Source organism: Homo sapiens, chromosome 6 (assembly GCF_000001405.40).
Source record: "Homo sapiens chromosome 6, GRCh38.p14 Primary Assembly".
Classification (NCBI taxonomy): Eukaryota; Metazoa; Chordata; class Mammalia; order Primates; family Hominidae; genus Homo; species Homo sapiens.
The window spans coordinates 8,612,180-8,635,728 of NC_000006.12; the positions used below are offsets into that span (position 1 = coordinate 8,612,180).

At 38.8% G+C, this 23,549-nt stretch overlaps 1 long non-coding RNA gene across 2 annotated transcripts in view, besides 2 other annotated features; it reads left to right on the forward strand.

Moving 5' to 3' along the window:
• LOC100506207 (uncharacterized) overlaps positions 1 to 23,549 on the forward strand; it is a 349,823-nt gene that overhangs the window by 176,557 nt on the left and 149,717 nt on the right. The window lies entirely within an intron of this gene.
• Positions 7,319 to 7,991: an enhancer, noted in NCBI's record as "H3K27ac hESC enhancer chr6:8619731-8620403 (GRCh37/hg19 assembly coordinates)". NCBI's record gives its function as "activates a minimal SCP1, AML or CMV promoter by ChIP-STARR-seq in naive H9 embryonic stem cells {active_cell/tissue: H9 hESC(naive)}" and the evidence as "EXISTENCE:reporter gene assay evidence [ECO:0000049][PMID:30033119]".
• Positions 15,002 to 16,201: an enhancer, noted in NCBI's record as "P300/CBP strongly-dependent group 1 enhancer chr6:8627414-8628613 (GRCh37/hg19 assembly coordinates)". NCBI's record gives its function as "activates an origin of replication core promoter dependent on BRD2, BRD4, P300/CBP, MED14 and CDK7 cofactors, with strong dependence on P300/CBP, by STARR-seq in HCT116 cells {active_cell/tissue: HCT116}" and the evidence as "EXISTENCE:reporter gene assay evidence [ECO:0000049][PMID:35650434]".

Genomic DNA, 23,549 nt, shown 5'->3' on the forward strand with positions numbered 1-23,549 from the left:
TCTCCAAAAAGAGGTTGGATGTAAGAAAACAACCTGGAATTTTTTGTGTTTTGTTTTGTTTTCAATAACACAAATAGCTAAATATGTAGTAACAGTGAGGCAATATATTAAAAATAAGATTGGTCTTCAATTAGAGATTGATGCCCATTTATCAGAGATGGTGTTAGTCCACATGATCAGCGTTGATTAGACTTGCTGTTGGTCATGTCCTAGCATGTCCCATGAAATTTCAGATTCATATTTTATTATAAGAAGACCTTGAATTTGCATTTCTGCAAATACTTTTTGCCAAGTTAAAATTTTGTTCACTAAATGAATCAGTAGGAACACCTATGTAAAATTCCTGGATTCTCCAGATTTTATGTCATAATTCTACCAGCAAAACATGATCAAAATCTGTTATCATTACTTGGAGTGACCCTACTTATTTTTCCTGCTCTTAGATTCTCTATCGAGAACCTTTATGCTCAGCTCATCCTATGTCCCCAGAGTTCTCATGGTTTCCCCTGGCTTTCCATTATATATAAGCTAACTCAGAACCCTTATTTAGACAGACATACACATGAGTAATAAGAAAATGAAGTTAAAATCATCCAAGTCCTTCAAACACTGAGTTTAACAAATGCTGGTAGTCTCAGAGAATAATTCAAATTAAGGCAAAAGAAATTAAATACATCCTAGTATTTGGCAGCAGACTGTTTTCTGGGGAGATGTTAACTTGTTTCATAGATGTGCAAATTTAATTTGAATTAAAGTATCAGAATGAGGATACCTGAGACAGACTGGCCTCTGGTATTTTGAAGACCCAAGGCAGGAGTGTACCAATGGACATCCATATACCCTATGCATAAATACTTAAAAGAAATAAATCAAACTAACAAATTCTCAAATACAGTTGGCCCTTCATATCTTTAGGTTCCATCACATCGTGAATTCAACCAACTGCGGATGGAAAATATTTGGAAGAAAAAAAGGATGGTTATATCTGTACTGAGCCTGTACAGAGTTTTTTTTTCTTGTCATGACTCCTTAAACAATACAGTATAACTATTTATGCAGCATTCACATTGTATTAGGTATTGTAAGTAATCTAGAGATTATTTAAATATATGGGAGGATATGTGCAGGTTATGTGCAAATTCTACATTTTTTATCAGGGACTTGAGCACTTACAGATTTTGGTATCTACAGGGGCTCCTGAAACTCATCCCAAATGGATACCAAGAGACTACTTACTGCATGCTCTACCCTCCTACCTTGGCAAATATAAGTTATAACAACATGGATGGCCACATTTTAATTTGAGCGCTAGAGCTTCCAGGAACTCAGTACTGTGCTGTGATGCCCAGAAGGGCTAGATACCAGCCTCTGCCTCTGCCACCGTCTCCTCTCCCTCCCCTTAGTGCACTACAAGATGCAGATGCTGTATCAAGATGTAGCCGGCATCCCCCTCCTTCCTGGTTGCATACAGTTTCAAGCATTTTTTCAGTACTTTTCAGGAATGGGGGAATTTATCATAAATCTGTAGTTCAGATTAAGAAGTTGGTAGGGATAATAATTGCTTCCCTCCCCCTAAAAGGTCCATATCCCGGTCCCTGGAATCTGCAACTCTGTTACATCACATGGTAAAGAGGAAATGAGGTCCTATATGGAATTAAGATTGCTAATCAGCTGATCAGATGTGATCACAGAGTTCTTAACAGTGAAAGGGGAGGCAGAGCAGGTCAGAGTGAAGTGACCTGAGAAGGCCTCAACCTGCCCTTTGAGGATCAGGGTTCCCCAGGCTCCAGTACTGTTCCATGGCCTGTTAGGAACTGCACCACACAGTGGGCGTGAGCAGTGGGTGAGTGAACAAAGCTTCATCTGTATTTATAGCAGCTCCCCATCATTCATTATTGCCTGAGCTCTGCCCCCTGTCAGATCAGTAATGGCATTAGATTCTTACAGGAGCATGAAGCCTATTGTGAACTGTGGATGCAAGGGATCTAGGCTGTGTGCTTATTATGAGAATCTAATGCCTGATGAGCTGTCACTGTCTCTCATCACCCCCAGATGGGACTGTCTAGTTGCAGGAAAACAAGCTCAGGGCTCCCACTGATTCTACATTATGATGAGTTGTGTAATTATTTTATTATATGTTACAATGTAATAATAATAGACATAAAGTCCACAATAAATATAATGCACTTGAATAATCCGAAAATCATCCCCACCCTGCCTTCGTTTGTGAAAAAAAATGTCTTCTACAAAACCGGTCGCTAGTGCAGAAAGGTTGAGGATCACTGTTGAAGATGGAGGAAGGTGGCCACCAGCCCAGGAATGTGGCAGTCTCCAAAATCTGCAAAAGGCAAGAAATAGGTTCTTCCCTACACCTTCTAGAAGGGAATGCCAGCCCTACCAGCACATTGATTTTTTTTTATTATTATTATACTTTAAGTTCTGGGATACATGTGCAGAATGTGCAGATTTGTTACGTAAGTATACACGTGCCATGATGGTTTGCTGCACCCATCAACCCGTCATCTACATTCAGTATTTCTCCTAATGCTATCCCTCCCCTAGCACCCCAGCCCCTGACAGGCCCTGGTGTGTGATATTCCCCTCCCTGTGTTCATGTGTTCTCATTGTTCATCTGTCACTTATGAGTGAGAACATGTGGTGTTGGGTTTTCTGTTCCTGTGTTAGTTTGCGGAGAATGATGGTTTCCAGCTTCATCCATGTCCATGCAAAGGACATGAACTTATCTTTTTTAATGGCTGCATAGTATTCCATGGTGTATGCGCCACATTTTCTTTATTCAGTCTATCATTGATGTGCATTTGGGTTGGTTCCAAGTCTTTGCAATTGTGAATAGTGCTGCAGTAAACATACATGTGCATGTGTCTTTATAGTAGAATGATTTATAATCCTTTGGATATATACCCAGTAATGTTATTGCTGGGTCAAATGGTATTTCTGGTTCTAGATCATTGAGGAATCGCCACACTGACTTCCACAATGGTTGAACTAATTTACACTCCCATCAACAGTGTAAAAGTGTTCCTATTTCTCCACATTCTCTCTAGCATCTGTGGTTTCCTGACTTTTTAATGATCACCATTCTAAATGGTGTGAGATGGTATCTCATTATTGTTTTGATTTGCATTTCTGTAATGACCAGCGATGATGAGCTTTTTTCATATGTTTGTGGGCTGCATAAATGTCTTCTTTTGGGAAATGTCTGTTCATATGCTTTGACAACTTTTTGACGGAGTTGTTTGATTTTTTCTTGTAAATTTGTTTAAGTTCGTTGTAGATTCTGGATATTAGCCCTTTGTCAGATGGATAGACTGCAAAATTTTCTCCCATTCTATAGGTTGCCTGTTCACTCTGATGCTAGTTTCTTTTGCTGTGCAGAAGCTCTTTAGTTTAATTAGATCCCATTTGTCAATTTTGGCTTTTGTTGCCATTGCTTTTGGTGTTTTAGTCATGAAGTCTTTGCCCGTGCCTATGTCCTGAATGGTATTACCTAGGTTTTCTTTTAGGGTTTTTATGGTTTTAGGTCTTATGTTTAAGTGTTTAATCCATCTTGTATAAGGTGTAAAAAAGGGGTCCAGTTTCAGTTTTCTGCATATGGCTAGCCAGTTTTTCCAAAACCATTTATTGAATAGGGAACCCTTTCCCCATTGCTTGTTTTTGTCAGGTTTGTCAAAGATCAGATGGTTGTAGATGTGTGGCATTTGTTCTATGGCCTCTTTTCTCTTCCATTGGTCTATATATCTGTTTTGTTACCAGTCCCATGCTGTTTTGGTTACTGTAGCCTTGTAGTAGAGTTTGAAGTCAGATAGCTTGATGCCTCCAGCTTTGTTCTTTTTGCTTAGGATTGTCTTGGCTATATGGGCTCTTTTTTGGTTCCATATGAAATTTAAAGTAGTTTTTTCTAATACTGTGAAGAAAGTCATTGGTAGCTTGATGGGGATAGCATTGAATCTATAAACTACTTTGGGCAGTATGGATATTTTCACGATATTGATTCTTCCTATCTATGAGCAGGGAATGTTTTTCCATTTGTTTGTGTCCTCTCTTATTTCCTTGAGCAGTGGTTTATAGTTCTCCTCGAAGAGGTCCTTCACATCCCTTGTAAGTTGTATTCCTAGGTATTTTATTCTCTTTATAGCAACTGTGAATGGGAGTTCACTCATGATTTGGCTGTTTGTCTATTATTGGTGTATAAGAATGCTTGTGATTTTTGCACATTGATTTTGTATCCTGAGACTTTGCTGAAGTTGCTTATCAGCTTAAGAAGATTTTGGGCTGAGACGATGGGGTTTTCTAAATATACAATCCTGTCATCTGCAAACAGAGACAATTTGACTTCCTCTCTTCCTACTTGAATGTCCTTTCTTTCTTTCTCTTGCCTGATCGCCATGGCCAGAACTTCCAATACTATGTCGACTAGGAGTGGTGAGAAAGGGCATCCTTTTCTTGTGCTGCTTTTCAAAGGGAATGCTTCCAGCTTTTGCCCATGCAGTGTGATATTGGCTGTGGGTTTGTCATAAATAATTCTTATTATTTTCAGTTACATTCCATCAATACCTAGTTTATTGAGAGTTTTTAGCATGAAGGGGTGCTGAATTTTATTGAAGGCCTTTTCTGCATCTATTGAGATAATCATGTGGTTTTTGTCATTAGTTTTGTTTATGTGGTAGATTATGTTTATTGATTTGTGTATGCTGAACAAGCCTTGCATCCCAGGGATGAAGCTGACTTGATCATGGTGAATAAGCTTTTTGATGTGCTGCTGGATTTGGTTTGCCAGTATTTTATAGAGGATTTTCACGTCGATGTTCATCAGGGATATTGGCCTGAAATTTTCTTTTTTTGTTGTGTCTCCGCCAGGTTTTGGTATCAGGATGATGATTGCCTCATAAAATGAGTTAGGGAGGAGTCCCTCTTTTTCTATTGTTTAGAATAGTTTCAGAAGGAATGGTACCAGCTCCTCTTTATACCTCTGGTAGAATTCGGCTGTGAATTTGTCTGCTTCTGGGCTTTTTTGGTTGCTAGGCTATTAATTACGGCCTCAATTTCAGAACTTGTTATTGGTCAATTCAGGGATTCGACTTCTTCCTGGTGTAGTCTTGGGAGGGTGTATGTGTCCAGGAATTCATCCATTTCTTCTAGATTTTCTAGTTTATTTGCATAGAGGTGTTTATAGTATTTTCTGATGGTAGTTTGTATTTCTATGGGATCAGTGGTGATATCCCCTTTTTCATTTTGTATTGTGTCTGATTCATCTCTCTTTTCTTCTTTATTAGTCTGGCTAGTGTTCTATCTATTTTGTTAATCTTTTCAAAAAAGCAACTTCTGGATTCATTGATGTTTTGAAGGGATTTTCATGTCTCTATCTCCTTCAGTTCTGCTCTGATCTTAGTTATTTCTTGTCTTCCGCTAGCCTTTGAAGTTTTTTGCTCTTGCTTCTCTAGTTCTTTTAATTGTGATATTAGGGTGTCAATTTCAGATCTTTCCCACTTTCTCCTGTGGGTGTTTAGTGCTATAAGTTTCCCTGTAAACACTGCTTTAGCTGTGTCCCAGAGATTCTGGTAAGTTGTGTCTTTGTCCTCATTGGTTTCAAAGAACTTCCTTATTTCTGCCTTAATTTTGTTATTTACCCAGTAGCCATTCAGGAGCAGGTTGTTCAGTTTCCATTCAGGAGCAGGTTGTTCAGTGGTTGTGTGGTTTTGAGTGAGTTTCTTAATCCGAAGTTCTAATTTGATTGCACTGTGATCTAAGAGACTGTTTGTTATTATTTCCATTCTTTTGCATTTGCTGAGGAGTGTTTTACTTCCAATTATGTTGTCGATGTTAGAATAAGTCTGATGTGGTACTGAAAAGAATGTATATTCTGTTGATTTGGAGAGTTCTGTATATGTCTATTAGGTCCACTTGGTCCAGAGCTGAGTTCAAGTCCTGAATATCCTTGTTAATTTTCTGTCTCATTGATCTGTCTAATATTGACAGTGGGGTGTTAAAATCTCCCACTATAATTGTGTGGGAGTCAAAGTCTCTTTGTAGGTCTCTAAGAACTTGCTTTGTGAATCTGAGTGCTCCTGTACTGGGTGCATATATAGTTACAATAGTCAGCTCTTCTTGTTGCATTGATCCCTTTACCATTATGTAATGCCCTTCTTTGTCTTTTTTGATCTTTGCTGGTTTGAAGTCTGTTTTATCAGAGACTAGGATTGCAACCTCTGCTTTTTTAAAAATTTGTTTGCTTTCCATTTGCTTAGTAAATATTCCTCCACTCCTTTATTTTGAACCTATGTGTGTCTTTGTACGTGACATGGGTCTCCTGAATACAGCACACCAATGGGTCTTGACTCTTTCTCCAGTTTGCCAGTGTGTCTTTCAATTGGGGCATTTAGCCCATTTACATTTAAGGTTAATACTGTTATGTGTGAATTTGATCCTATCATTATGATGTTAGCTGGTTATTTTGCCTGTTAGTTGATGCAGTTTCTTCAGCGTGTCGATGGTCTTTACAATTTGGCATTTTCACAGTGGCTGGTAGCAGTTTTTCCTTTCCATGCTTAGTGCTTCCTTCAGCAGCTCTTGTAAGGCAGGCCTGGTTGTGACAAAAGCTCTCAGCATTTGCTTGTCTGTTAAAGGTTTTATTTCTCCTTCACTCATGAAGCTTAGTTGGGCTGGATATGAAATTCTGGGTTGAAAATTCTTTTCTTTAAGAATGTTGAATATGGGCCCCCACTCTCTTCTGGCTTGTAAGGTTTCTGCAGAGATATCCACTGTTAGTCTGATGGGTTTCCCTTTGTGGATATCCGCTGTTTGTCTGATGGGGTTTTTGTGTGGATAGCCTTTTTGTTAATGTTGATGCTATTCCTTTCTGTTTGTTAGTCTTCCTTCCAATATTCAGGTCCCTCTGTTGCAGGTCTGCTGGAGTTTGATGGAGGTCCACTCCAGACCCTGTTTACCTGGGTATCACCAGCAGAGACTGCAGAACAGCAAAGATTGCTGCCTGTTTCTTCTTCTGAAAACTTTGCCCTGGGGGGCACCTGCCAGATGCTAGCCAGAGCTCTCCTTGCTAGGAGGTGTCTCCCAGTCAGGAGGCACAAGGATCAGGGACCCACTTAAGGAGGCAGTCTGTCCCTTAGCAGAGCTTGAGTGCTGTGCTAGGAGATCCGCTACTGTCTTCAGAGCCAGCAGGCAGGAACGTTTAAATCTGCTGAAGCTGTGCCCACAGCTGTCCCTTCCCCCAGGTCCTCTGTCTCAGGGAGATGGAAGTTTCATCTATAAGCCCCTGACTGGGGCTGCTGCCTTTCTTTTAGAGATTCCCTGCCCAAAGAGGAGGAATCTAGAGAGGCAGTCTGGCTACAGTGGCTCTGTGGAGCTGCGGTGGGCTCCACCCAGTCTGAACTTCCTGGCAGCTTTGTTTACACTGCAAGGGAAAAACCGCCTACTGAAGCCTCAGTAATGGTGGACACCCCTCCTCCCACCAAGCTTGAGCGTCCCAGGTCTACTTCAGACTGCTGTGCTGGCAGCGAGAATTTTAAGCCAGTGGATCTTAGGTTGCTGGGCTCTGTTGGGGTGGGATCCGCTGAGCTAGACCACATGGCTCCCTGGCTTCAGCCCCCTTTCTAGGGGAGTGAACGGTTCTGTCTCACTGGTGTTCCAGGCGGCACTGGAGTATGAAAAAAACTCCTGAAGCTAGCTCGGTTTCTGCCCAAATAGCCGCCCAGTTTTGTGCTTGAAATCCAGGGCCCTGGTGGTATAGGCACCCGAGGGAATCTCCTGGTCTTCAGGTTGTGAAGACTGTGGGAAAAGCATAGTATCTGGGCTAGATAGCAGTCCTTCATGGATTCCCTTGGCTAGGGGAGGGAGTTCCCCGGCACCTTGCATTTCCTGGGTGAGGCAATACCCCACCCTGCTTCGGCTAACCCTCCGTGGGCTGCACACACTGTCTAACCAGTCCCAGTGAGATGAACCAGGTACCTCAGTTGGAAATGCAGACATCACCCACCTTCTGGATTGATCTCGCTGGGAGCTGCAGACCGGAGCTCTTCTTATTTGGCCATCTTGCCAGCCACCACCCCAGCACATTGATTTTTAGCTCAGTGGAACTCATGTCAGATTTCTGACTTCTAGCACTCTTAGGTTGTAAGATGCCAGTTTATGGTAATTTGTTACATTAGCAATAGAAAACTAATACCAAGGATAAATATGTGTGATGCTTTGGAAAGCTTAAAATGTTACTGAAATCTCTGTAATGGGTAGCATGTTTTGGGTCCTTGATTAATATTTATTAAATATAGATGAATTCACAATTAGGATAAAAAGTGTTGTCAGCTGCTAGGTGGGAAATTACGTTACAATGTACTTATACATTATGATGTAGCTGGTGGACATATTATGTTATTTTTTGCATTGTTGCTCCATAATGAATTTTAGCTTGAATTTGGACCCCAATGGAGTTTTTGAAGTATTTTCAGAAAGATTACTCTATGATTCAGCTGCAGCATCATAGGGTATTAAAAAATACTATATGCAGAAACTTACGAAAGTAATATAATTGCCAAACCTTTTAGAACAGTTTGTGGAACTTTCTAGAAGTTGTGACATAGTCAAATGAATACTATTTTTCAGCTGCTTAACACTATCTGTCCAAAGCATCTAGTTTACTTTCAAGAGAAGCTTATCTAAATGCTAATGGGTAACTCAATTAAGAAAGAAATGATGAGTATAACCAAATAGTTAATGCAGAAGAATCTCCGTAGTCCTCAAAAGGCCTCAAATACATACTGTCAATCATAAAGGTAAAAAAGTTGTCAAAGTTTTGAGCGTGGGTGATAAAAAATATCGTTTCCATAATGCTCAGCATACATTCGAGTATCCAGAATGAACTCAGAAGCATTTTCTTTTTCTTTCTTTTATTTTTTTTTTAATAAGAAAAAGATGTGTCTCAAACTTCAATCATAATTGAAGGTGAAAGGTATGTGGAATTTGTGATGACTATATTCCATAGTTTATTAATTAGAAGATAGATATATTTAAAATGCTGATTGTTCCTCCTGAAAAGTTATTATTATATTTTATATATCTAGGGGTGTGTGTTTTCATATATATTCAATTATATTGGGAATTATGGCATTAAAATAGGGAAAAATACAAAATATCCACACAACTTCCAATTTCTGCTTGACCTGGTATATACTGAAGTTATAAAAATAGCACAATATATAGTGAACAAAATAGTAATAAAAATGTAAAGCAGAGAAACCTAGTAGATATCAGAATCTAAATCCCTTAAAGATGTTATCCTTAAAATCAGCGTGAAAATCAGAGAATTCATATTATAATAAACTATCAAAGGCATTTATTAAACTGAATTTTCCTCACACCAGGTGGCTTTCCCTTCCCCTCCTCCCATTTTTTTCTTCCCTTTTTAAAAAATCAAGTCTAAGGAAACCTATAGTGAAGTTCTTTAATAGCAAAGTATAATGGGGCCTCCTACACCAAGGTATGGAGAGGGCTGTCTAGTCTATTTTTAAAAGTCTCCAGGGAAGGAGCTTCTACAACTTCCTTGTGAATCTCTGACTTCGTACCTGGCAATCTTCCCCTCCCAGGGTCCCCAGGCTGGTCTTCCTCTCTTGCTTAAGAATTTATTATAGATCAAATTATTTTAGGGTTCTGAATATATTGTTATATTTAAACGATACTTTCCCCCAAAGGGGCTCAATTAAAAGAGCGCAGGATGTCTGTGTGGCTGAGTGCTATCCTTAAAGAAAGGTGTTCAATTAATATAAATGGGTGAGATTCAGGCCATAAACAGAAACCCTAATGTTTTAGAAACAACTGCAATCTGAAGTATGTCTTCTCCCTCCTGATTTTTTCTGGAGTTACACACTTTTGAAGACAGATGACCCCAGCCTAAGTCCTTGGGCTAGACTCTTGACCACACTGTCTATTTCTTCATCAGAGGGTGATGATCATGCTTATCTACCTCCATTTTTAAGTGAGGATTAATTAATATTTGTGTGGTATTTTCAAAGATGTTAAACCGTATTTAGATGCTCTAAGGGCTGATGTTATTTCTCAAGGTGTTTTTTCTTTTATTTTATATAAAAAATTACACAAGTTCTGTTCTTGCCATATAATTATGTGTTGGCATTTGCAAGGAAAAAGAAATTCTTTTCAACATTTTTGATGTTTCTTTTAATGTTATCTACTACCTTTATATTGGCATTTTATCTCAGGAAAAAAGGCACCACAATATAACTAGAAAATTTTTTAATGTTTACATTTGTATTTAATATTACCCATGAGCTTCTAATTAAAACATTAACATGATTATCTAATGTAAACCATCAAAGTATTATATACTTATGTTAACTATTTTATTGTTTATTTATTTGAGTTTTGGGGAAGGAAATATACTCTCTTTTTCTTTATGTTCACTTATAATTCAGCTATAAAAGTTTTTATATCTAAGAAATATTTAGATTCTAATTTTTGCATTACAACTTCTGTTAGGATGAGCATAAAAACAGATTTTAGATTGATTACACTCATCAAAGTTTCTCTTGGTTCCTGTTAAGGATAACTGGAAAGTCATCTTTATGATAAGCAATTATTTTTATCTGCTGATACATTGGTAATAAAGTAGTAGGTTACTTTTAAATATTTGAGGTCAATTTGTTTTCATGGTTATCATTTATTCAAGGAAGGCATTTAGAAGCCTGTTTGTCTACACAAATTATTGAATATATTACTGGAGCTCCATGGAGAATGGCAGGTTTTTGCCATTGCGTGGTTTGTCTTTCATCTTTGGATGCTCTGTTACCACTGTTCCATTCCAGGAACAGAGTGAATACACTCACAGCATATATATATATATATAGAGAGAGAGAGAGAGAGAGAGAGAGAGATTGAGATGGAGTTTCGCTCTGTTGCCCAGGCTGAAGTGCAGTGGCATGATCTCGGCTTACTGCAATCTCTGCCTCCCAGGTTCAAGAGATTCTCCTGCCTCAGCCTCCCGAGTAACTGGGGTTACAGGTGCGTACCACCAAACCCAGCTAATTTTTGTATTTTTAGCAGAGATGGGGTTTCGCCATGTTGGTCAGTCTGCTCTCAAACTCCTGACCTCAGGTGATCCACCCGCCTCGGCCTCCCAAAGTGCTGGGATTACAGGCGTGAGCCACCATGTCCGGCCTGGCATACAATGTTTAAAGCTGTCAAACATAAAGTATAACAAAGATGAACTTCTCTTTTTCTGTTTTCCAATTCAGCTATACTATTAAGATTATTTTAAAATAAATAGTCTGATTTTTTAAAAATGTGATTCAGATCATTGTTTCTGTTCTCCCTTCCTTCTGCATGAGCAGCTCAAAACTCAAGGTGCTGGTTGGAGCTACGGGAACAGTTGCAGAGGTTCTGTGCTGTCTGCCTTGCTGTCCTACCTGCATCTGATTCAGGGAGGTGGAATGTGTAGAGGAGAGTTAGAGTGTTAACTCTCCCCTTCATTTTCTAGGCACATTTTAGAGTCAGAAAGGTAGAATATTAGTATAGTATTAAAAGGAAAAAGTAGCACGGAAATGTGATTCATTGTGCCAAGACGCAAATAATTTAGCTGAAAGTTAATGTCACAGCAAATAATGGACACAGAGTTTCTTAGTTTCTTATCTTTTTTTTTTTTTGTAGTACTTAACTGTTACTCATCTTGGGTCTAGTACATAATTTCTGAAGCCAAATTTCTTCATTTTGAAGAACAGATAATAACACTTAATCTAAGAAAGTATTTTTAAAATGCTTTGTAATTCTTAACGAAATGTGTCACAATAAGGTAAAAGCATCTCTTAGTCACTATTCATATTGTTCAGTCATAGTCTGTCTTTTTCTTTCCAGTAATAATCCATCCTGTTTTTTAACAGATTGTAATAGGGGAGCAGTGAGAGAGAAAATCCATGCTTTACTCTGTTCCATATAATTTGTTTATGTTGGGTGTGTGTGTGTGCGTGAGAGTTTATATTATTTACATTGCTTTAAACTAAAGTCACAATTCTCAGTGGATTATTACTTGAACAATAGGAAAAGAGATTATCCTATTTTTTACTACCAGAATGCAATCAAAAATATATTTCTAACTTCAGTGATTTTCAAATAAGAAAATTATATTATTTATAATACTTCATTTTGTTAATCTGATAGTGTAACTACCTTAAAAATATTATCTGTTGTAGTGGTATCATGTCCCAGGGAAAAGAATACATACACATAAAAAACTCATAATGTGCATTATTAACCAAAATACATTTTAAACCCTTGTTTCCTTGTATTAGTGGGTCTTCAGGTCTAAAACAAATATTAAACTAGAGTTTTGTTTGGAATATGGACTCAGTATAAGATAATCAAACCTGCTTTAGGAAAAAAATCATTAAGAAATTTACGTGAAGGATCTATTGCATTTTTTTCTTTGAGGTGAGCAAAAGCAAGTCTGCTATTGCTGATACCACTTGAAAGCCCATTGCTGTGAACACTTTATTTCTTAACAGAAAACTGATTTTAAATGTTGAGGTTAGAAAATCTACTCAACATTTTTTAACTGCTCCAGCTTTAATTCATAATTACAAGCTTATTCCAATCTCTGCATAATGAAACCACATTTTAGACCAACAGCTGTTATCTACTTTTGCTGGTAGCCTTGGGGTATGAATATTTTAATATTCATTTTATATGTGCAGATAAACTAAATACTTCCTACTGGAAGTCTATCAAATTAATCGCAAAAATCTTAGTTGCTGTTCTTTCTTCCATGCAACTCATTTTTAAAAAACTGCTCACTTTGTGCTCCATTTTCCATAAACCTGAAAGTGATTTTTATAAAATATACAGGGGAGAATGTAGAGAAATCCATGGATATAAAGGATCATGGAAAAGATTAAAACAATACTGTTTTAGTGACCTGCCCTTCTGTCCATTTCCATTTTGTGCAAGTTCAGTTTAAGATTCAATATTTTGCTTATGGAAATGTTTTAATAACTGGTTTTGTGTTGGAAGGCTGTGATTTTCACTTATTTAAATAGTATTAGGTTCTCATATGTAAATGATATGGCCTAAAGATAGAACCCTCCCCCCACTCCTCCAGTTTTCCCAGTATAATCTCACAAACACCATTGTGATGTACTATAAAACATGCGGTAACTTTTGTTTTTGGATGGCAGTGAATGATTAGAAAATAAAAGTTCTGTAGCCCAGTAAAATCTAAAAGTGTTTATTCTGAAGTGGAAGATAAAAGGATGATGGAAGATACCAAAATAGAAATAGATGAATTTGTAGCTAAGGTTGGTGGATATTAATAGTAGAGATAGTTCACATAGATTCTTCACATTTTTATGAATTCTGTAGGAAGATGCTTTCACCTGTTCTGCATTTTAACAGAACAATACTACTTACATCATACAATAATCAATATTTGGGGTGGAAAACATAATCTGTATCATTAGCAGATCAAGATCATGTACCTCATTAATGTTAAACCACAACTATTTAAACATGTTTGAGAGGCCTGAGCATGGTGACAGAAAAATAAAGACACGAAATAAAAAAAAGCAACATAAAATGGTCTACGTAGTGTTTTTCTAGTTATGAGGATGAGACTTCTGTGAAAGCTTATTTGGTCTTAGTGAGCACATATGCGATGATGTCTTATGTGATCTTTCTTTCTGACTTCATGTTCTTTTTTTTTTTTTTTTTTCCAGGAGAGTAAAATCTTTTATTATAATAGGTGTATTTTTTTTAATTATACTTTAAGTTTTAGGGTACATGTGCACAACGTGCAGGTTAGTTACATATGTATACATGTGCCATGTTGGTGTGCTTGTACCCAGTAACTCTTCATTTAATATTAGGTATATCTCCAAATGCTATCCCTCCCCCCTCCCCCCACCCCACAACAGGCCCCGGTGTGAACAATGAGAACACATGGACACAGGAAGGGGAACATCACACACCTGACTTCATGTTCTTGGCTCTTGGGATAACAGAACACAAACATTCAGGTCCTTTGTCTTTGAGAAGCAGATGTTTTTCCCCCTTTTGTTTAGCGGAGATGTCTTCTGGGTCTTGACGATGAGAGGAGTTAGACACGTCTAGTCTTTTCCAGTGCTCGCGACAGCTAACATTTTCCTGCTCATCTCTTCTTTGGGCGTTCACCACTGCCTTATACTTTCCCCCTCATTTCCCCTACTTCTTTTGATTGTGACTTACAAAGTCTTTGATTGGCTACTGGGGAAATTCTGTCTCTCTTGAGCCCATTTTTCATTTTCACTTTTTCCTTTGTTCTCATGTCTTAACAGACACATGCCCTTCCCTCTGCCATTTTTGATGGATCTTTCCAGAACACTGCCAGCTATCCATCATTCCTTATCTTTCAAAGTCTTCCAGATGCCTCTTTATGCTTCCTTTCTTAATCATTCTAGCTGCCCTGGAGGGCTCCCCGCATTTGATTTTTGTCCTTCTAATGGTATTTCCTAGCATTTACTGAGGAGTTACTCTGCGCTGGTTCCATGCTAAGCTCTTGGCGTGCCTTATTTTATTTATTCATCATGATACTTAAGAGGTGTCTACTTATTGTTTCTATTCTGTAGCAGAGGAGAATGAAGCTCACAATGTTGAATAACTTGTCCAAAGATAACTGTTAAGTGGAACGGATGGGAGTCAACCTTGAGTCTGTTCCAGACTTTACCCTCCTTAGTTGTTATTAGAATATTTGATTCATTTATTCTTCCTTTCTGATCATTGTTCTCAGTGACATTGGCTTTCTTACTGAAAGTTCATCAAGCAAGCTTTACGGACTCATAGTATCAACAGTCGCAGCATTCCACTCTCCCTGTTTAGCTGCCATGCTCTGGAATTGCTCATCATATACCGCTGAAATCTGAGTTGGTGGGCTCATTGCAGACACACTGTTTTGCTTGCCATGTCTCCCTCTTCTTTATCCCCATTGAACCTAACTCTCAGTATCTCTCCTCTCCTGATCCACACTCCCTTTTAGTTTATTTTATTTTGCCCCAGTATTTCATGTCTTTTGATGACATCATCTTTCCCCAGCTGAATGATGAGGCTGTCTCTAGTTTTAGTGGCTCATACACATCAGTCTAGACTCCTGAAGTCTCTTGATTTTAGATAAGCCTTCAACATCAACCCCCCAATCTAAAATAATTCTTAAATATACATTATTCACACCTCTCTTTAGATCATAGATTATCACTAGGAAAAATAAAAACATTCCTGAGGTATCTTATAGCTTTAAATTCTGTTTCTAGAAAAATGTAGACTTAAATGGCAGATGTTGTTTCCAGCTACATGTTGGCACTTGCTTCTTCTTGGAAGCTCTTCTATTTATTCCTTCTGATTCCTTACTGCTTTCACCTGTGGCCCTGTTCCAAACTAACTCTTACTTCCTCTTTCTCACAGTCCAACCCTAGTCATTGCAGAAACATCCACTTTCATCTCTTTCTCTTACTCATCTCTTCCTCTGTGCTAAGCTCTCATGCTGAGTCCTGTTCACTATAACAAACACTCCCCATTTGTGTCCTAGGTTCTGTCCAGTTGTTATTTTGAGGTATCTCACTCTGAAGCTCATTTTTTCCCCTGACTGTGATTTAAGTCTTTCTCATTACAGCGATTCCTTTCTCCTTGCCTTCAAACACTCAGGCTCTCCTTTCTTAAACAGTTCTTCCTTTTATAGTCTGCCTCTTCTAGCCATCATTTTATTTCATTTTGCTTTAACTGCTGACATGTATTAAATAAATGTTCTCAACCCGCTCTATTCATCCTCTAACAATCTTTATTTTAATCCTTTGAAATTTCAGTCTAATTTACTCAGCATTTTGCTGGGATCACAGTCATCAATAATTGTATTCTTTTTAGTTCTTTCTTCTGTCCTCATTGTTCTTGACTTTTCTGTAGAATTTGGTAAGAATTAGCTAAGAAACAAAGGCAGAAATTTACTCTGAGATGCTGGGGCAGTCCAAGAAGCAAAGTACAAGGATTGAGCATAAATGCCTGGAGACTTCCCAGCCTCTAGAACTGTGAGAAATCACTGTTTATTGTTTAAGCACACAGTCTATGGTGTTCTGTTACAGCAGCTCAAACTGACTAGGACAGAGCACCTATTGGGACCTTACTGATATTTCAGATACATTGTTTCTTGATTCTTTCTCCCTTCCCTCCCTTCCTTCCTTGCTTCCTTCCTTCCTTCTTTTTCTTTCTTTCTTTCTTTTCTTTTCCTTCCTTCTTTCTTTCTTTCCTCTTTCTTTCTTTCTTTCTCTTTCTTTCTCTTTCTTTCTCTTTCTCTTTCTCTTTCTTTCTTTCCTTCTTTCTCTTTCTTTCTTTCTTTCTTTCTTTCCTTCCTTCCTTCCTTCCTTCTTTCTTTCTTTCTCCTTCCTCCCTTCCTTCTTCTCTTTCTGTCTCTTTCTTCCTTTCTTTCTCTTTCATTGATCAAATTGCTGAATGATGAATTAACTGTACATGCCCTTACCTTTTATAACAGTTGTCACGTACCAAATATTCTGATAAATTATCATCCTCGTTGCTGACTTCAGCCTTCTTCAGCCTGTTCTTATTGGTCCATTTTCCATGTTTCTTCAGCAGCTGCCAGGAAATATCTCAGCTGTACTGAATATTAGCCATTGCTTCAGCATTTATGTTAGCCTAAAGTCATGCAAAGGGATACTTATGAGAATTCATTGCATGGCATTTATTATGACTGTGCTATTTCATATTGTACCACTTGAATTGTTCATGCCTGTAGTGAGTATGGTCAACAAACCTGACATCTTAATCACATATAAAGGCAATGTGGGAGTGTCTCCTTTATTCCCTGATCTTGGGCAGTCTGGCATTCTGTCATTTATTTATAGTTGGAGTCCAAGAGTGTAGAAGTAGTCACAGCAATTTTGTGGATCCTGATGTCTATAAGCTAATCTGTGGGCACACTTTCCAAACATTGGGTTTGCTTAGAGATGTATAGTAGAGTATGAGGAACCTAATTATCCTCATCTCGTAGGATTTTATCTTTTGGGCCTCGGATCTCAGAAGGAGTCACCACTGTATTATTTCTGGCAATGTTGACTTCAAGATGCCTATTAAGCATCAGGTAGAGATATTGATTATGCAGTTGAACATATGAGATTAGAGCATAGGAAGGGGTCTGGATTGGTGTTCTAAACTTGAGAGTCTTCATCTTATAAAGCCATTGGAGTCAGTGAAATACTAAGCATTAATAAATAGGAGAAAAAATGTGAAGTGCCTAAATAGCTAGGTACTAAGCATTAATAAATAGGAGAAAAAGTCTGAAGCCCTCTTCTGAAGGATGCTGGGGCCTTCAGAAAGGCCTTATCTGAAAGACCCTGGAGACATTCAACATCAAGAGCTAAGAGAATGATGATGGTGTCACAGAAGAGCCTTGGTACAGTTGCTTTACCCTCTGTCTCCATCCCTCCCCACCCTCTCTTCTGTATTTAGCTTCAATAACAGAATACAGCCCTGATCCTGGTTTGTGATGACATCCAAGATGCTTTAATATGGCCATGTGGTCTCCTGATGCTCTGTGTTGACCTTCTATCTAACTGCCAATGACAGAATTATCTCTTGGCCTATATATCCTGGGGATTCTTTACTCTGCCATGTGTTTTATCTAGGAGAGTAGGGTAATCTGCCAGAGAATGGAGGCCTCAGAACTTTGATTCCGTGAACGATTCCTAATGTTGGCATTTGTCCACTTCCAAGGCTCTCAATCCCTATATTTCTGTGGCATGCTTTAAGTCAAAGATCAATGTATCTTTCATTCATCCCTGGAATGACCTCCTTCAAGACTCTACAAAAGTTCTAAAACCATGGTAACAGCTGAATCTCCTGGATCTCATGTTTGCAGATGGAACAGTACAGAGACCTTCAAGTGGCCTAAGCTTATCTGCTGCCCAGCTTCTCTTGCCATCAAGAAAAATCTCTGCTTTCTCAAGACATGAGATTTCCATGAAGTGTTAGTTAACATTGATCTCTATTTTACAATGTTTCTAAGGAGTTTGTTAGAAGTTTTCAGTTTAGTGCACTCACCCTGAGCTGTGGATATTTGGCTCCCATCTGGCTTATCCAGTCCTACAGGACAGTTTCCTTCACTTCCCTCCACTTTCCCCCAAAGTATCGTAGCTCTGGATGGGTTGATTCACTTTCTTTCTTTTTTTTTTTTTTTTTTTTTTTTTAGACAGTCTCATTCTTGTCTCCCAGGCTGGAGTGCAGTGGCATGATCTCTGCTCACTGCAACCTCCACGTCTCGGGTTCAAGTGATTCTCCTGCCTCAGCCTCCCGAGTAGCTGGGACTACAGGCACCTGCCACCACACCTGGCTAATTTTTGTATTTTTAGTAGAGATGGGGTTTCACCACGTTGGCCCAGCTGGTCTCGAACTCCTGACCTCAGGGGATCTGCCTGCCGTGGCCTCCCAAAGTGCTGGGATTACAGATGTGAGCCACCATGCCCAGCTAATTCACTTTCTAGTGTACTGAAACCTAACAGACAGGTAGGTGATCATAGAATCTCAGATGTTACTGAGAACTTCTTAAATCCAAAGTCTCAGCATATAGCCTCAAATACAACCCACGCAAAGCTGACGTGCATCTCCAGTCACCTGCATGTGATCACATTCAAAAGAAACATCAGGCTGGCATTTAAAAGGGAACTGATGGGATATCTATTAAATGGAGATTATATTGCATAATTAAATTTAAGTAAATCAGCTTAAAATCTTGTATCCACTCTTCTAAAAGTGTGCAAGTATTTTTTAAAATATTATGCAACAACAAGAATAACTGAACCCTCCAAAACAAAAAGTGAAGCAAAAAACAGAAAACAAGCAAGCATAAAAACGAGTAAAATCTCGTAGGTAAGGTTTACGTGGCTGATCCCTATCTTTCAATTGCTAATTTTATTTCTAAAATACAGTCTCATTGTTCTCACTGATTTAGTGCTATACATTTCCATGTAAGACATACATATTAATTATATTAAACAATTTTTATCACTTTCCATTTGGTTGCCATGGGAAATTCCATCTGAAGATGTTGGAAATGACATCTTTAGAGCTTTTGCTATTTCTATATGATTGTCATTAAAATTTTAATTGTTTTTGCTGTATGAAAATTGGCAATAATGATTTGTTTGGGCCAGTTAACACTTGAATTTATAATAAATTAACACTAAAAGATAAGCTAGATTTGTATTGGCTTCCTTCCAGAAGTCAGTGGAATGATTTCTGTGTTAGACCTTAGTGACTATGAAAAGCTTTCTACTACCTTCCCTTAGCTATTCTCCTTCCAGTTTCCACTTCAGCATAGCCCATAGTCCTTTTTCTGCTCATCCACCAAACAGCATCATCCCCCTGCTTAATGACCAGCACCCATTAGGCAAGAGCAGGGGATTGGAGATTTGCCATCAGGTTGTGAACTGAGTGGACAATAAAGAAGTAAAAAATGATGAGAACAGGGCAGGAGGCAAGAGCTATAGCTTTATAGTTATGGGCAATGAGAACTTGGGTAGAAATTAGAGAGCCAAAGTTACTTGGAATGGGCAGAACAGGTCCAAAGTAATTGCCAACAATTAGGTCTTTGATGAGGACATGAGCATACCACTCTGGTCCACAAATCCTTGACACCTCTAATTGTGAGATGTGGTATATATCACTTGAGTCTGGACTCTGCGCCTGCTTGATCAGTAGTAGAAGTGATGCCATGCCAGTTTCTGGGTCCAGGTGTTAAGAAATGGTCAGCTTCCATTTCCTCTCTCTTGTGATCACAACCTAAAATCCAGCCACCATATTGAAAGGAAGCCCAAGAAATCAATGGAGAAGCCACATGTAGGTATTCTGGTCCATAGTCTTAACTGAGGTCTAGATGATGCTCAGTCACCGCATATACGTGTTCATGATCCTCTAGATCAATGGCCCCCAACCTTTTTGGCACCAGGGACCAGTTTGGTAGAAGACAGCCTTTCCACAGACAGGGGTGGGGGTTGGAGGTGGCTGGGGGTAAGGGGTTGGTTTTGGGATGAAACTGTTCCACCTAGATCATCAGGCATTACTTAGATTCTCATAAGGAGCACACAACCTAGATCTCTCGCATGTACAGTTCACAATAGGGTTTGGGCTCCTATGAGAATCTAATGCTGCCACTGATCTCACAGGAGGCAGACTTAGGCGGTAATGCTCAACTGATGGCTGCTCACCTTCTGTGCAGCCTGGTTTCTAACAGGCCACAGACCAGTATAGGTTTGTGTCCGGAGACTGGGGATTCCTCCTGTAGATGACTAGTCATTGCCTGCAGTCTTGAATCTCCCCACTTGAGTGGCCAGATATGGAGCAGAGGCAAGCCATCCCTCCCGCACACTCTCCAAATCCGATTCACAGAATTCGTGACCATTATAATGGTGTTTGTTTTATTCTGCTAAGTGAGGAGTGTTTATTAAAATGTAGAAATAGTAACTGAAAAACCATTGTCAGGCACAAGTATACCACCATTAAGCAAGACCTACCATCTCTGACTTGATGTAAATCACATGAGAATCCTATGAGTATATAGCTGTACATCAAAAATGAATGACTTGAATCCCTAAATATAGCAACCTGTAAATGTATTACTCTGAAATGATAAAACTCCCTTCGAATAAGAAAAACTTTCTGAAAAGCTTATGGAGATTTCTTTCCCTTGCAGGAGAAACAAACCAATATGTAAATACATTTTCAAGCATGAGCATGTTTCTTTGATATTACCTTGTCACTCCCCTTGTTTGTACCATATACTTTGCTCTTCTAAGCATTTTTGATAAGGGGAATTTTAAAAATCAGTAGATTGCAGCCTGTGGCTGACGCATCTGGATAGTTTAGGTGGCCAGCTTTGAACTATTTTATTATTGCAAAGTTGAAATAAATTGCTTTACTTCTCTACCAGTAGGCTCCTCTGCCAAATTTAACTTGTACATTTCTAAATCACTTACATATTTTAAAGGATTAAAATTAAAGATGAGATTAAAAACTTTTCTCTTTGCTTCAAAGGGAGAACCAAAATCTCCACAGAGCCTAACTGACAACCTTTGTTGCTGCTTGGAAAGGGGGAGGGAAAAAAGGAATTGCTTGAAGTGTTTCCTTAGTTCTTAACCTCTTGTTTTCCAGCCAGTGTTGTTTTGGACTAAACATTGGAATGTTGAGATAGATCGCGATGCTTACCTTGGCTTTACTCAAACCTAAAGTGACATTGAAGAAATTGATCCTGGATATTTGTCCATTTCTGAGCTTGGCTGTGACTCCAGTCCTTAGGAGGGTGGTTAATTTGACATGTTCTGGCAGAATTAATTTTGCTGCCATACCAGTAACTTTCTCCTAATAAATTTTTCTCTCTGGAGATTTCAACACTTTAAAAGATGATACAACGTACCTTTTGCAAAGCAGAGGATGATAAGGTTCATGTAGGCAATGGAGTAAATGATTACTTCTGCACCCCAACATATAATTATGGAAGCAGGATGAAGGAACTTTGAATATGCTTGCTAGTGGCACAGCTGAACATGGGGAGAAATGTCAAGTCGAGGTTGAGGTTCAAAGTTAGGAACGGGTTTCCAGCTTTGCAGCTGCTGTAATTACACAATTCTGTGCATTGAAGCCATTTATCTCCTGCCAACTGTGGTAATTAATTTTGTTTTCAGTTAGTGGAGGGGGGATTGATCTTCCCTTTGTGAAAAACTTTCTCACGCAAATGTTTCCCAGTGTTGAAATGTTGAATGGCTTTCCTCCTGTTGTACAGGTATTTACTGGAATCTGAGCTCATGATTCTCTGAATCCATGACTAATGCAAAGTCAGAGCCAAGTTTATTGATGACTTCTATTTCTCTCTTTAGGGATCAAAGTTTTTCAAAGTATACACTACTTAGAACTTTTAAATTATCTCTAAGTCTATTTGCACGTAATGCAAGTATAGCAACCTGTACAGGTAAATACCTTTTAGTTTCATAAACAAGGAATACAATCTCATGTAGGCATACGTTTTCAATTAAAAATTTCTTATAAACATATAGTTTGTGTGTCTCACAGAGTTCTTTAACCCAAATACATGCCAGTGGCCTTGTAGAGTTGAGTAGTGTTTATAAGAAGGCTTGTCACTGGGCAGCTTTATGTCAATATCCAGAAAACTTGGGCCATACTATCAAACCTTCACCACCAATGTTTTTTACTTTGATTTATTGTGAAAGCCTTTTCTTTCTTTCTTTTTTTTTTCTTTTTTTGAGATGAGGTTTTGCTGTCACCCAGCTTGGAGTGCAGCGGCGCAATCTTGGCCCACTGCAATCTCGCCTCTGGGGTTCAAGTGGTTCTGCTTCAGCCTCCTGAGTGGCTGGGATTATAGGTGTGCGCCACCATGCCTGGCTAATTTTCATATTTTTATTAGAGATGGGGTTTTGCCATGTTGGCCAGACTGGTCTTGAACTCCTGACCTCGGGCGATCTTCCTGCCTTGGCCTCCTAAAGTGCTGGGATTACAGGCATGAGCCACCACGCCCAGCCTGATTTACTGTGAAAGCCTTTTGATGTAATTTCCCTTGAAAGTTGGAGAAATTATCACATAGATTTTTTAAAAAGAGGAAAGTTTCAAAGGACATGACAAAATAATCAATGAACTGAATTATAATTTGTATTTTGGTATTTATAGGAAATCACTTTGAATTAAAGACAGTATATAATTTTTATTTATTTCTTGCATCTTCAAAACTTTGAACTGCATCCATGTCTCAGTCTTTTTGGGCTGCTAAACAGAACAGCATTGATGAGTGGTTTATAAACAACAGAAACTTCTCTCTTACCATTCTGGAGGCTGGGAAGTCCAAGATCAAGGTGCTGGAATAGTCTAGTGAGGGCCCACTTCCTTGTAGATGGCATCTTCTCTTCAGTGTGTCCTCACGTGATGGAAGGGATGAATGAGATCCCTTGGGCCTGTTTGATAAGGGCACTAATCCCCTTCATGGGGGCTCTGTCCTTGTGACCTAATCATCTCCCAAAGGTTCTATTTCCTACTATCATCACCTTGGGAGATTTCAACATACAAATTTTGGGAGAGCACAAACATTCAGCAACATGTGAAAGGTCATAATTGATATGGTTTGGCTCTGTGTCTCCACTCAAATCTCATTTTGAATTGTAATCTCCATAATCCTCAACTGTCAAGAGCAGGACCTGGTGGGAGGTAATTGGATCATGGGGGTGGTTTCCCTCATGCTGTTCTTGTGATAGTGAGTAAGTTCTCATGAGATCTGGTGGTTTTATAAGGGGGTCTTCCCCCTCCCCTCATTTGCTGTCCACCTGCCTCCATGCAAGACGTGCCTTTGCTTCTCTCTCACCTTCTGCCATGATTGTAAGTTTCCTGAAGCCTCCCCAGCCATGTGGATATGTGAGTCCATTAAACTTCTTTCCCTTATAAATTACTCAGTCTTGGGTATGTCTTTATAGCAGTGTGAGAAAAAAACT